The sequence below is a fragment of the Homo sapiens genome, chromosome 5, assembly GCF_000001405.40.
Source record: "Homo sapiens chromosome 5, GRCh38.p14 Primary Assembly".
Lineage (NCBI taxonomy): Eukaryota > Metazoa > Chordata > Mammalia > Primates > Hominidae > Homo > Homo sapiens.
In genome coordinates, this window is record NC_000005.10 from 87,360,865 (window position 1) to 87,373,350 (window position 12,486).

General features: G+C 32.6%; 2 protein-coding genes across 6 annotated transcripts in view; one reads left to right on the top strand and one right to left on the bottom strand.

The window, feature by feature from the left end:
- Positions 1-12,486, top strand: part of RASA1 (RAS p21 protein activator 1) — a 124,034-nt gene that overhangs the window by 92,982 nt on the left and 18,566 nt on the right. For both annotated transcript variants that reach the window (NM_002890.3, NM_022650.3), the window contains exons 10-13: positions 1,687-1,807; positions 2,484-2,640; positions 8,949-9,036; positions 11,254-11,331. In NM_002890.3, coding sequence (NP_002881.1) covers positions 1,687-1,807; positions 2,484-2,640; positions 8,949-9,036; positions 11,254-11,331 — 444 coding nt within the window. The remainder of the gene's footprint in view (positions 1-1,686; positions 1,808-2,483; positions 2,641-8,948; positions 9,037-11,253; positions 11,332-12,486) is intronic.
- The window catches only part of CCNH (cyclin H), a 101,460-nt gene that overhangs the window by 49,394 nt on the left and 39,580 nt on the right, over positions 1-12,486 (bottom strand). The gene's annotated exons all lie outside the window — the stretch shown is intronic.

Here is a 12,486-nt window from a genome sequence, read left to right on the forward strand (position 1 = left end):
ATCTTCCTGGATCAGTTTTTTTCTCTTTATCATTTATGAGCAGAAAATAAAGAGTTCTGAATATTTTAAGTATGTTCAATCAAAGCTAAAAAGACAGCAAAGATGGCCTTTTATGTTTTTACAAAAGATGCCGCAATACTTTGCAACACAGTTACACACACACATACACACACACCCAGAGTGATGCAGTAGAGATTATTTATTTCAGTTATATCATCCTCTAGGCCAGCGGTTGGCAAAAGTTTTCTGTAAAGGGTTTTGCAGTTCATTTAGTGTGTCCACTAAAGTCTGTCTTTTTATCTGGAAGCAACCACAGACAGCATGTTAGGGAATGAGCATGGCTGTGTTCCAGTAAAACTTTATGTATAAAAAACAGGTGGTGGACTGGATTTAGCATGCGTGCCACAGTTTGTCAGCCCTGCTGTAAGCAATTCATTCTTCTATTTTCTTATTATTTTAGTAATTTTGTAGCATTAACTTGGGAATAATTCTGAGTAATGATGAAATAGTTCCTAGGATGATGAAACAGCATAATGTTTCAAGATAGAGGATTATGAAAATCCCACAGCATAACTTAGATTTATAAGAGGATTGAATGGATCCATGAAGTTTGTAAGATGGACTAAAAGTCATAAAATATGAATCCTTGCAAAATAGTAAGAACTACTCAAAAAGGAAACCAAAAAACTAAAACTGAGTCCAATTGACCTTAATAGTAAAATTGAAGATTCATTTATTCTGGAAAGATCATGATAAAGGCATCCTGATATAATTCTTTTCCTCAGGAGATTTAGCAATTAATGTAAGTTCTGCTATAATGTAACATATGCATTCCTAAAAATCATAGCATTATGCAAAATTAGGCAATCAAAACCACAGGGCTTTTGAGAAAAGTGAGGTTAGGGGTGTTAACACTTAGAAATTTCATCAGGGATACATTAAGAAAGAACCTAATATAAATATGTTGCTTAGTTTTATACATTTTTTTTTAAGAAATATGTACATCCTACAATAAATATGGCAATTTACCTTGAAAAAAGAGGTACATTACATGAGGAAATGGCCATTGGTAGAGTTGAAGCATGGGAATGTTGCAGAGTGGCAGAGGAGGATTATCTGAAATCATGGTTATAACACCAGCTGTGGATGGATGGGTGTGGCATGTGACACACTTAGTGGATTGAGGGAACTGTTAGGTATTTGAAGTGTGTATGTTTTGTTCATTCTCATGTCTTAGTTCACCTGGTACGGTTGTCTGTATTCACCTAGCATTTCTCACAGACACAATTGTGCATAGGCAAACATGAATTTGCTTTATGCTTACATTGGTTCCTAATCTACCAGTTATGCTGGGACAAGTTTATGTTTTTAAAACATGATTTGCTGTAAAATATAACTGACTGTATTCGAAAATAGCTTATTAGGTATCCATGGAAACAGACAACTTATTAGTTGTTCTTGGGATTGGCAAGGAAACCTTTCTGTGAACTTTGTTGTCGGTGTTCTTCGAAATTATAAGGAAGCATTTCTGAGAATTTCTTTGGAAAGCAAAAGATCATTTATGTGTTATGTGTATCTAGATTTTAGTATTTTAAGCGCTTTGGCTTTTAATTGGTACTTTTATAGATTTTTACTTCATTTCCATCAAGAATGTATGAAATAATTTTAATGTTTTTTAAAATTCAGGATCAAGAACAAGTACTCAATGACACAGTGGATGGCAAGGAAATCTATAATACCATCCGTCGTAAAACAAAGGATGCCTTTTATAAAAACATTGTTAAGAAAGGTTATCTTCTGAAAAAGGGTAAGTTCAGACTTTTATCATTAACCCATTTGATAGAGACGTTGTAAATATGGAGCTCCGAACTTATTGTGATATATATTTAATAAGTTTTGACATGAGTTATTAGTAATTGACACTTGTTTAGAGCCCATATATAAGCATTCTTCAAAATTTAGAGTGTAGGTATATTAAAAGTCTACATTTTCAACCAGAATGTTTCTTCTACCCATGGTTTCTTTTTTTCTTTCTTTCTTTCTTTTTTTTTTTTGAGGAACTCCTTATGGCACATGGCACATTCATAATATTGATATTTTACAGATTTACCTCAATTTGACATAACGACATTTTGGGGAATTGTGGGTGGGGGTGTGCTTTATAAAGTGGAAGAATTTTTTCCTTAAGACTGTTAAAGAATTATTCCAAAACAAGAATTCTGACAATTTCATCATGATGAAATCTCTGAAGATATAGTTAAGGTATTCTCAGCATTTACTCTGTGATTAAAACAAGTAATATAACAAAAGGCATTTTTGTACAGATTTGTTATAGGCATTTTCTCATTATGTAAGAATTGGCATATTACATAAGCTTTGGAATAAAAATTGATTGATTCATATTTTTAGAAACACTAATTTTAATAATATGTAGGATTTCACAATTGTTTGGCTAAGAGAAAACAATTTTTTTTTTTAAACAGGCAAAGGAAAACGTTGGAAAAATTTATATTTTATCTTAGAGGGTAGTGATGCCCAACTTATTTATTTTGAAAGCGAAAAACGAGCTACCAAACCAAAAGGATTAATAGATCTCAGTGTATGTTCTGTCTATGTCGTTCATGATAGTCTCTTTGGCAGGTAAGAGACTGGTTTCCTATTTTTCTTTCGGAATTGTCTTAATAATAAAATAGTACAAACAAAGCAAACCAATTTTGAGAGCCCTAAAATCATCTTCTAAAAGTAGCAGATGCACTTTCTAGGTAATTTTTGCCTTCCTTGCTTAATTGTAGACTAATATATACATAAAGTCTACTTCATTGTGTTGCACAGAAATCTTTGGCATGACATTTCCTGTAGTAAAGCATGTTTTGTCCCTGCCCCAACAAGCAATCTTTTGAGTGACTTACTTTGAGTCTTTGTCACCTTTCCTCTGATTTTTTCACATGGTTTAACTCAGTGTACCCAAGAGTACTAGGTGCACTCAATTCTGCTATTAACTCTATAAGCAAGTTCTTAAGAAAGTTAATGTTAAAAAATAATCTTAAAATTGTCTTGATAGGAAAAATGTATTTGAAATTAAAAAAAATTCTTATGTTGACTTCTTGGTTTTGAAACAATGAATATAAATGTATAAGCTGAATCCTAAACATCAGAAGACAAATCCAGCTCTTGATTACATCTAGATTTTTTTCTCAAGAACAATGGCCTTTACCTTTCACCATTAGTATTATCAGTAATCCATCCCAGTCTTTTTAGATGTACTTACCATTTTTATTACCTATTGTTATGATTAGTAAGAGAAAAGACAGTTAAATGTTTCAACAGCTTGTTTTTCTGCCGCAGGATGGCATTTCTGTGAGGCAAATCTACGTTTTATCCTGTTGAAATATTTCTCTTCTTTAAGAGAAATACCTGTAAAATATATAGCCTTGTCATTTCTTTTTTCAGTGTGTTTAGGAGATCACATTAGTGTTACTTGTGATTTTGACAGTTTTTTAAAATGATCAAATAGGTTTGGGAAATGCTGATTGAACAAATAGTTTTACTTATAGCAAGGCTTTTTGTAGCTTTAGCTAGTGTTTATATTGTGAATCTGTAAAATAGTATGAATTACTTCATAAATTCATTTTACGAAGATACCCTTTTTTTTCCCCTGAATACTCACTGATACCTCATAAAGAGTTGTTCCAAAAAACACAAAGATTGCGTGAGGACAGGATTTCTTGAGATTTTTCTGCCCCTCTTTAACAACCTGAGAATCTTAACCTTCAAATGTGGTTGATTCAGGCCTCTGTCTTTTCTTTTTAGTTCTACTCTGCACCCTTCTTGTGGGTTGAATCCTTCCTCAAACCAGTTCCCTACATGGTAGCAAGGTAGCAAACAGCACCAGAGAAAGGGCTGTAAGCATTCACTCCCATAATTATTAAAAAATCTTGAAAACATTCTGTTGAGCCACCTCTCAACCAATTTTTAGTTCTGGGTTACTGAGGTAGCAAAAGGAATGGGATTATCCTGATAGAATGAGGAGACCCTTTTGTGCCTAGATCTGTTGCTGGAAATGATCTCACCCAAATAGTGAGGCTGCTCTACTTACCATATGTATGGGTGAAATGGATGTTGGAGAGGCAACACTATTCACTACTAAATGTAGTTTATTATCGTGAAAACAGTTAAAAACAGTAAAAGTAGAATATTTTGGGAACAATTTTATTGAGATCAGTAATATGAAATAGGTGGCTCTTGATTCTTGGAGGATGGGTATGAATTCAGTTGGATAGTTGAGCAGAGCTTCCTAACCAGTGTTCCATTAATCAGTATAGGTGTCCCCTGAGATACTAGTGGTTGTAAAATCCTATTGTAGTAGAGATATTTAACAAATGTTTTATATTTCAAAAATTATAACACTCGAAATCATATGATCCCTGTATAAACTGTTCTAATTCATTATTTTATTGGGGCAAAAGAATTGATGCATAACACTTGGAGACAGAGAGCTCTTTATAGTGGCTATACCTCAGTACTTCCTACTTTCTTGTTCAATCATCCAGGTACTCTGAATATTACTTTATTCACAGCTTCATTATGAAGCTACCTTTTATGTTCAAGCAGAAATGTCTCATTTTGTTTCTTACCTTTTTTCGATTAACAGAGAAGTTAAAATTGTTTTAATTATCGTAAAATATATAAGGAGGTTCTTGAAAAGAACATAATGAATTTGATATATTTTTCATTTTTACTACTTTATAATTAGCCTTAATGTACAGATGTTAATTTTTCCCACCATAAGGGCAATTTAGTGACTAACACTGGAAAGTCATTAGACTCATAAGATAAAAAATAATTTTAAAAAAATGTAACTCACTTACTAGGACCTGAAAGAAATACATTTAATTGCTAAATTTTTTTTTAATACTTTGAAACAAAGAAGGTCCTATGGAAATGCTAGTTAAGTTTATGACTGATGATGAGGCTTCACGATAGGAACATTTAAAGATTTTATGTCAAGATTATATATATGTTTGTCTGTAGACCTGAATTCCATATTAAATAATATAATGAAATGGAGGCTGTAATAAAATCTAAGCTGCTTCAGTTGCATGTGTTTTCAGTTTTAGGTGAGAAATGGAATCAAAATACCTACTGTTGGATGCTGAAGTATGTTACCTGTCCAAAAGAAAAGTTTTGATAAAAGTTTATGATTATAGGAGAAAAACTTTTGGTGAATGATTCTCATTTTGCAGATTTACTGAAGAATCAGTAAACTTCGTCAAATTATATGTACAATACAAAAAGATATGTGTCTTGACAGTTTATGGATTTAAGGCAGAAATTCAACCTTGGAAAAATGAGGTTAAAAATGATTCACTAATGATACTTACAACTGCAATTAGATGAATCTTAAGGAAGTATTAAGATGAATATTGCAATATCTGTAAGATTGAAGAAAAGCTTTAGCATTATTTTGATATAGTTTATATGAACAGATGCAGTTAGATTGGAAGTCTGTTGGCACAATCAAAAGAAAGGTCCACATTACACTTGATGGTAAAAGAGAAAGAATTGCCAGAGTAAAAAGAAGGATCAGATCCTTGAAGCACAAGTTGAAGATTGTGAATGATTCCTATTCTGGTTAGTAACAAGAAAGGAGTTTCTGTCTGGTAGGGGGAAAGCAATAAATATACATTTACCACTTGCTGTAAGGTTGTAGCTTGCTTCTTGTACAGTTTCTTGTTGAAGGTGACTTAAAGAATTTGAAGACATTAGAAAAAGTCTTTGTAATGAATTATATTTAATGATACCAGGTCTGAAACCTAGTATGAAAAAGTTATGTTCATGAGAACTAAACTCAAGTCTCTCATTTAGAAAACAGATTTTTCTTTTAAGACTGGGCGCAGTGGCTCACGCCTGTAATCCCAGCACTTCGGGAGCCCAAGGTGGGCTGATCGCTTAAGCTCAGGGGTTGGAGACCAGCCTGGGCCTACATGGCAAACCCCGTCTCTTTAAAAAATTAAAAAATTAGCCAGGTGTGGTGATGCACACCTGTGGTCCTACCTACTCAGGAGAGTGAGGTATGAGGATTGTCTGAGCCCAGGCTCACAACTGCCAGGATGTTGCAGTGAGCTGACTGTACCACTACACCCATGGCAGAGTGAGGCCCGGTCTCAAACAAAACTAAACCAAAAACAACAACAAAAATTTTTTTTTCAAAGTATGCTACTTTATTATTAACTATTTTTTTTAAAGTGCCTTCCTGTGAAATAGAGAAGCACTTAGTGAGAAAGACTGAATGCCAAGGCAAATAGCATTAACAAAGTACATTTCAAGGAAATGAGAAGACATCTGTACCATATAATAGGACAAGTAGAAAAATAGGTTGATAAATTATGTATTACCATAGGATGCAAATACCAGAGGACAAAAGGGGAAATTATAAATGAATGTTAATATCTTTTTCTTTATTATCAAATTAATGCCAGGCATTGAACATTTCCTGCTTTGTGTACACATAGAACCTGATATGCTGACCTTTAGCATTTAGAAGAAGACTAATGTGAAAGTTAACAGCCACCTTGTGCAGTAGGTGATTAGTGCGCATGCTCAGCCTGATGCTGAACGAATGTTGGATGGCAATGCTGTTTTCTTGCATGGCTTTAGTTGCACAGCTGTGCAATTTTTCCAGATTATTTTCAATATTAAGAGATCTCTAAGCACTCCATTTCCTTGTATTAAACTTCTAACTTTTAATACTGCATTACTTAGAAAGATGTCTTAGTGACACAAAGTTATTCTAGTGACTATCCATGTGGTAATTAATTTTTACACCATCTTTTCATAGCTGGATCTCACTGTGGTATTTATTGCTTTACATTTATTTATGAAAATGTTTTGCTGGATATTAAATTCAAGATTGGCAGTTATTTTGCCATTTTAAAGATGGTTTTCTGCCTTCCAACATTTTCGTTGTCATTCAAATTGTTTCTGTTTTAGAGGTAATGTATCTTTGTCTTTTCTCTTAGAGGTAATGTATCTCACACAACTTTCTCTGGATGCTTTGAGATTTTTCCTTATATTTTTAGTGGGAAAACTAAAATGTACCAACTATAAATTAAAAAAAAAATTATCCTTAGGTTTGTAGTGCTTCATCAATCTGAGACCTGATGTTCTTTGTCAGTTTTAGAAAACTCTTGGTTAGTATCTGTTTAAATGTTTAGTATCTAATTTAAACAGTTGTTCTGCCACATTCCTTTTTCTTCTTGGAGTCTGGTTAAAAAAAAAGTTGCACTATTTCCCATGCTGTTTTCTGTTTTTCATCCTTTTTCCTCTGTACCAACCTATATATTTTCTTCTGATCTTTCAGTTCACTAATCTTCCATTCTGCAGTTAAATCCACTTTTTCAGGACTTCATTTTATTACATTTTTTTCAATTTAGAATTTCCATTTTTTTAAAGATACAGTTTCTGGCAAAATTCTTGTTACCTATTTTCTTAAACATTTTAATTATAATTACTTGAAAGTCTTGTCTGTCTTCAGTATCTGCATTATATGTATGTCTTTCTGGTTTTTCATCTTAACTTTTAGCCATTTAATCCTGATGCCTGTAGTGTCTACTTAGTTTGACTAAGTGGTAGACATTGTACATGAAAAACTATGGAAACTAATGTTATTGCGTCCAGAAAGAATTGTTCTTACGGATGGTATAGGGTTAGTACATCTTGTAAAGGCTGTTCTATTTCTGGTTTGCCCTTATCATGAAGGCACAGCCCTTCAGGGGTCTCAATGGAAAGCCTGAAATTCATTCTTTTTTCTCCTAGCACTATCAAACTACTGGATTTGTAGTTAATTTTTTAGCCTTTTAGGAACTATTTTCTGCTTAGCGTCTCAGCTACACAGCCAGCTTAGGAACTGGCAACTGCCTTGAACGGAAAAGATGTGGAGAATGTCGGGTTAATTATAGTATGATCTTGGCTCCTCAAATCTTAGCTGCTTTGGTTGTTCTCCAGTGCTTTCAAACAGTTGTTTTTCTGTTTTGTATTACTATTTTAAGTTTTATCCAACTAGGGTGGTTAGTCTGATACAGGCAACATTTAGGATTAGAAGTTTCCAATTCCTATTTTCCATGATTACTTTTAAGACATTCTCAAAGCATGAAAATATAGTCTTTATCTTTAATAAGTGTTAAGCTTGTCCTCTGTGTATTTTTGCTATGGCCTCCTAACATTAGCATGATATAAAATCTTTAAAGCAGGAAACAGAAGTAACATTTATTGAGTTCCAAAAACATGCAGGCCCTTAATAAAGATTTTACCAATATTTTCAAGTCTAGTTGGAAAGATAGCACATTTCCAAAATGATATAAATTATTACCTAATATTGTACTTACATATCAAATGATTTGAAATAATACTAAAGGAAGACAAGAACATTTGTTGTACACAACTGTTCACTTAAACTCTAGAACAAGCATATGTATGAAGAGATGATGTTTCCATTTTAACAGGTGAAGAAAAATGATCAGTTTAGAAAAATTTGAAAATACAGAATCACCTACAATCTCCTTAGAGATAATTACTTAGAACATTTTTGGTCTAAGAACATTTCTAGTCTTTTTCCAGTGCATATAAAGCTTTTCAAATTAGCTGTGTGCAGTTCTAGCAGTTCAGCTTCAATCTGTTTGTAACTTTATTTCTAATGTATTTTACAATTAATTGAAATTTCTTTAGTTTACACTTTGAAATACTGATAACATTTTAATAGTGCTGACATAAAGTTTTCTAAAATATATATAGCTGACTTTTTTTTAGTAATGATCTGGTACAATGGAGTATTATTTCTTTAAGAATTATAATTTTATGTTAATTATTTATTGTGAGTGTTTTGGAAGCTGGTATAAATATTTTGCTACTTTTTATTAAGCTTCCTAATAATTTTTGTTTTTATTTTAAAGGCCAAACTGTTTTCAGATAGTAGTTCAGCACTTTAGTGAAGAACATTACATCTTTTACTTTGCAGGAGAAACTCCAGAACAAGCAGAGGTAAGATTACTGTTTCTCAAACTACAGTATACTTTTATGTTAGCCCATGTTTTCTTATTAACTGGAATAGAAAATGATCGCATTCAAGATAAAGTGACAGAACGCCTGAAATCTAATCATCTCTTATTTTAAGGAATGAGATTTCATATGTAAAAAGTTTTCTGAAAGAAATGCAAAAACAAACACAGTGAAGGGTTATTAGGAATGAAAACTCCATTTTAAATTGACCTTTAAATACTCTATGATGTTGAGGCCAACTGAGAATGCTCATTTAAAATCCTCTCTGCATAAAGGTTATAGGTCATCTCAGTATAATCCAAAGGTAAGCCAGTTAACCAGTTAGTTTTGCTAACAAGCATTATTCTTCACTGGTTGAACTCCATGTCTGAAAATAAAAGTCAGTCAACACAAGGAAAGATATTTTAGGAATCTATTCTCTAAGCCAAGTCGAGATATAATGTCTACTTTAGATTAGCTATTAATCCATGTGCAGTGTCCTTCTTATAGCGTCTATTAAGTAATTGTGTGAAGAAATAATATTTTTTAAAAAACACTCTTTAAAAAATATTTTGCAACAAAGGGAGAACCCACCTCTATAACAAAAGTAAAAAATTAGCTAGGTGTTCTGGCTTATGCCTGTAGTCCCAGCCACTGGGTAGAATGAGGCAGGAAGATTGCATTAGCACAGGAGTTTGAGTTACAGTGAGTAAGATCGAGACACTGTAAGCCAGCCTAGGCAACAAACTGAGACACTGTCTCTTAAAAAATTTTTTTGCTTTCTTTGAACCCTAATATTTCTGGAGTATATGGTTGTATTTTATACAAATACAGCTAAATTTCTGCTTATATTCTAACGAAGGAACTTAAAGGTGGTTAAGAAGTGAAAGTGGCTTTGTTGGAAATATAATTTGCCAACCCTAGATATGAGGAAGATGCTCTTAAAACTAGATCCTAGCGTGAGACTCACAGAATAAACCTGAATGAGCTTACAACTGAACGTCATATTTCACATCTTTATCAAATATCTCATTTAATGCTCATTTCACATGTAATGCACATAAAATTTTACGGCTATGTATCCCTAATTTTTAGATGAGAAAGGTAGTGCTCAAAACATTTTGGTAACTTACATGATTTTTTTAAATGTTAGAAATTGAGTTAGAAATTTAAACTTCAGTATCCTATTTTCTAAGTATTTTACCATGGTCCCTCTTTCTGAATAAAATGTCACATACCATAATGACATTTCAGCATGTTTTGCAAGCCTAACATAGAACATTTTTTAATGTATTTATACATAATATTTCTGTATTTCCATAAATGGTATTTCCAGTTTTTGTTGATTTATTGGGCTGTGGGGGTCTCTGGTTATTCTCTTCTATTTCAAAAAGCTATGGTAACTGATTTGGTTTTAATTTGCTGTAATATAAAGACAGTCTCTAGATATTAATAAAGTTCAGCTTCATTGAAATAGCCAACAAACTAAAGACATAATTGAATAAAGCAATAGTACACAGCTTTCCAGAAATATGTAAAAACCAAAGTGAATATTTAGATTTGTTTTTAATAAACCTTAGTTCTCTCCTTTTCCCCAAAGCACTAGATAAACATTTTAAAAATATGGCTGCAATTTGATTTGAATATTAGGCTAAAATGATTTTTAAAATCTAATGTTATATTTGAGAAGCTTAAAAATAACCCAAATCCCCTTATACATTTCTACCTGTATCATGGTCTAAAGTATAGATTAATATGCTTGTCATGGGATCGGTCATCACATTATCAGTTGGTTTTACAATCAGCACTCTCCCCCTCTCACAAAGTGTATCAAGTTAAATTCCACCTAAGCTTGCCTCAAGTATAACAGCTTAATTATACAGTTAATTTCCCCAAGGTAGTATCTGTTTGGGAGAAATAGTTTCTTTAATGTAAATTTGATTTTTTGGCTAATTAATGGCCACTCGATGTGTTTCATACATAAATTCAAACAAAGATTTATACAGAATTACAATTGTTTTGGTTGTTTTATTATTGTTATTGTTATGTTATTGTTATTTTATTATTGGTTATTGTTATGAAGTACAGTATAGTCTGAGAATAGAAATGGCAGTCTAGAGAAGGAAAAAATTGTTGAATTTGAAAAAAAAAACCTAACTGATGATTTGGAAGCCAAATAAACTAGTGTATATTTCTTTGAAGTGCTGTTTTTCTTTGCAGGATTGGATGAAAGGTCTGCAGGCATTTTGCAATTTACGGAAAAGTAGTCCAGGGACATCCAATAAACGCCTTCGTCAGGTGAAGCTTAATTTTCTTGGATTTTTAATTGTCACATTTTGCTCTAACACTTTGCTCTTTTTATTTTATTTTTATCTGAACTGTTTTGGACATCATATGGGGTTAAGCCATGCTGCCACTTGCTTCAGTAGCAGGAAAACGTTACTTCTTTATGAAAGAGAATGTTCTTTCTTAGTCCATGCCAACTGTTAAAAACATAAGAAAGATTATTCTTCCACTTTAAATAACAACACTAAACCAACACAGCAGAAACGGTTCTGTTGGGCACTTAATTTTCCTTCAAAAACTTATTTTGGCCTCTTTCAAAAAAGTAGAACATTGAAAAGATCATCAGATTTATAGCACTAATCCCAATAAACTTTTTTGGGATTTTCATTTTGAAGAACAGCTTTTAAAACCTACTGCTTAACTCTTAGGAAATATTTAATCTTATTTGAAACTGTAACATGCCCTATACTTTGAGATTTGTGGAGAGTTAAGCTAGGCTTTCTCTTTTTTTTGCCTTTACAAGGGTAACTTTATAACCTCCATTTCTTGGCTTTTTTCTTTTTAGTAATCCCTGTATAATTGGAAGAAGTTAGGCAAATTTTGACATTCTCAAGGTTTAAAGAAAGTTTAGTACAATATTTATTTACTAACCAAAGTGTCTCCTGTTCTCTTTGTGCGAATATCTGATAAGCTGAGTGATTAACATACTGTTCTACTGGGAGTGGATAATGGTTGATATTTAGGTGACTAAATAGTCCCTGTAACCCAAAGTCTGGCTCTTCCCCAGGGAAATTTAAGTATACACACAATCGCCATGTCTTCATAACATTGTAACATTTTGTAAGCTATCAAAAATCAGATTGGATTTTTGCTAATAAGAGCAAGTTGTATTTTGTGTGAAACTTGAGCCATTAAAATGACATTTGCAGGTTTAATATAATCATAGCTAACATCTCTCAAGCACTTTTTATGTATCAGTGGGCAGTGTGATTTAGTGATTTACATATACTGTCAGCCCTTTCTATTCATGGGTTCTGCATCAGTGGACTCTACCAACCATGGGTCGAAAAAATACAATAAAAAGATACAGTATAACAACTATGTACATAGCATTCACATTGTATTAGGTATTACAAGTAATCTAGAGATGATTTACGGCATACAGGG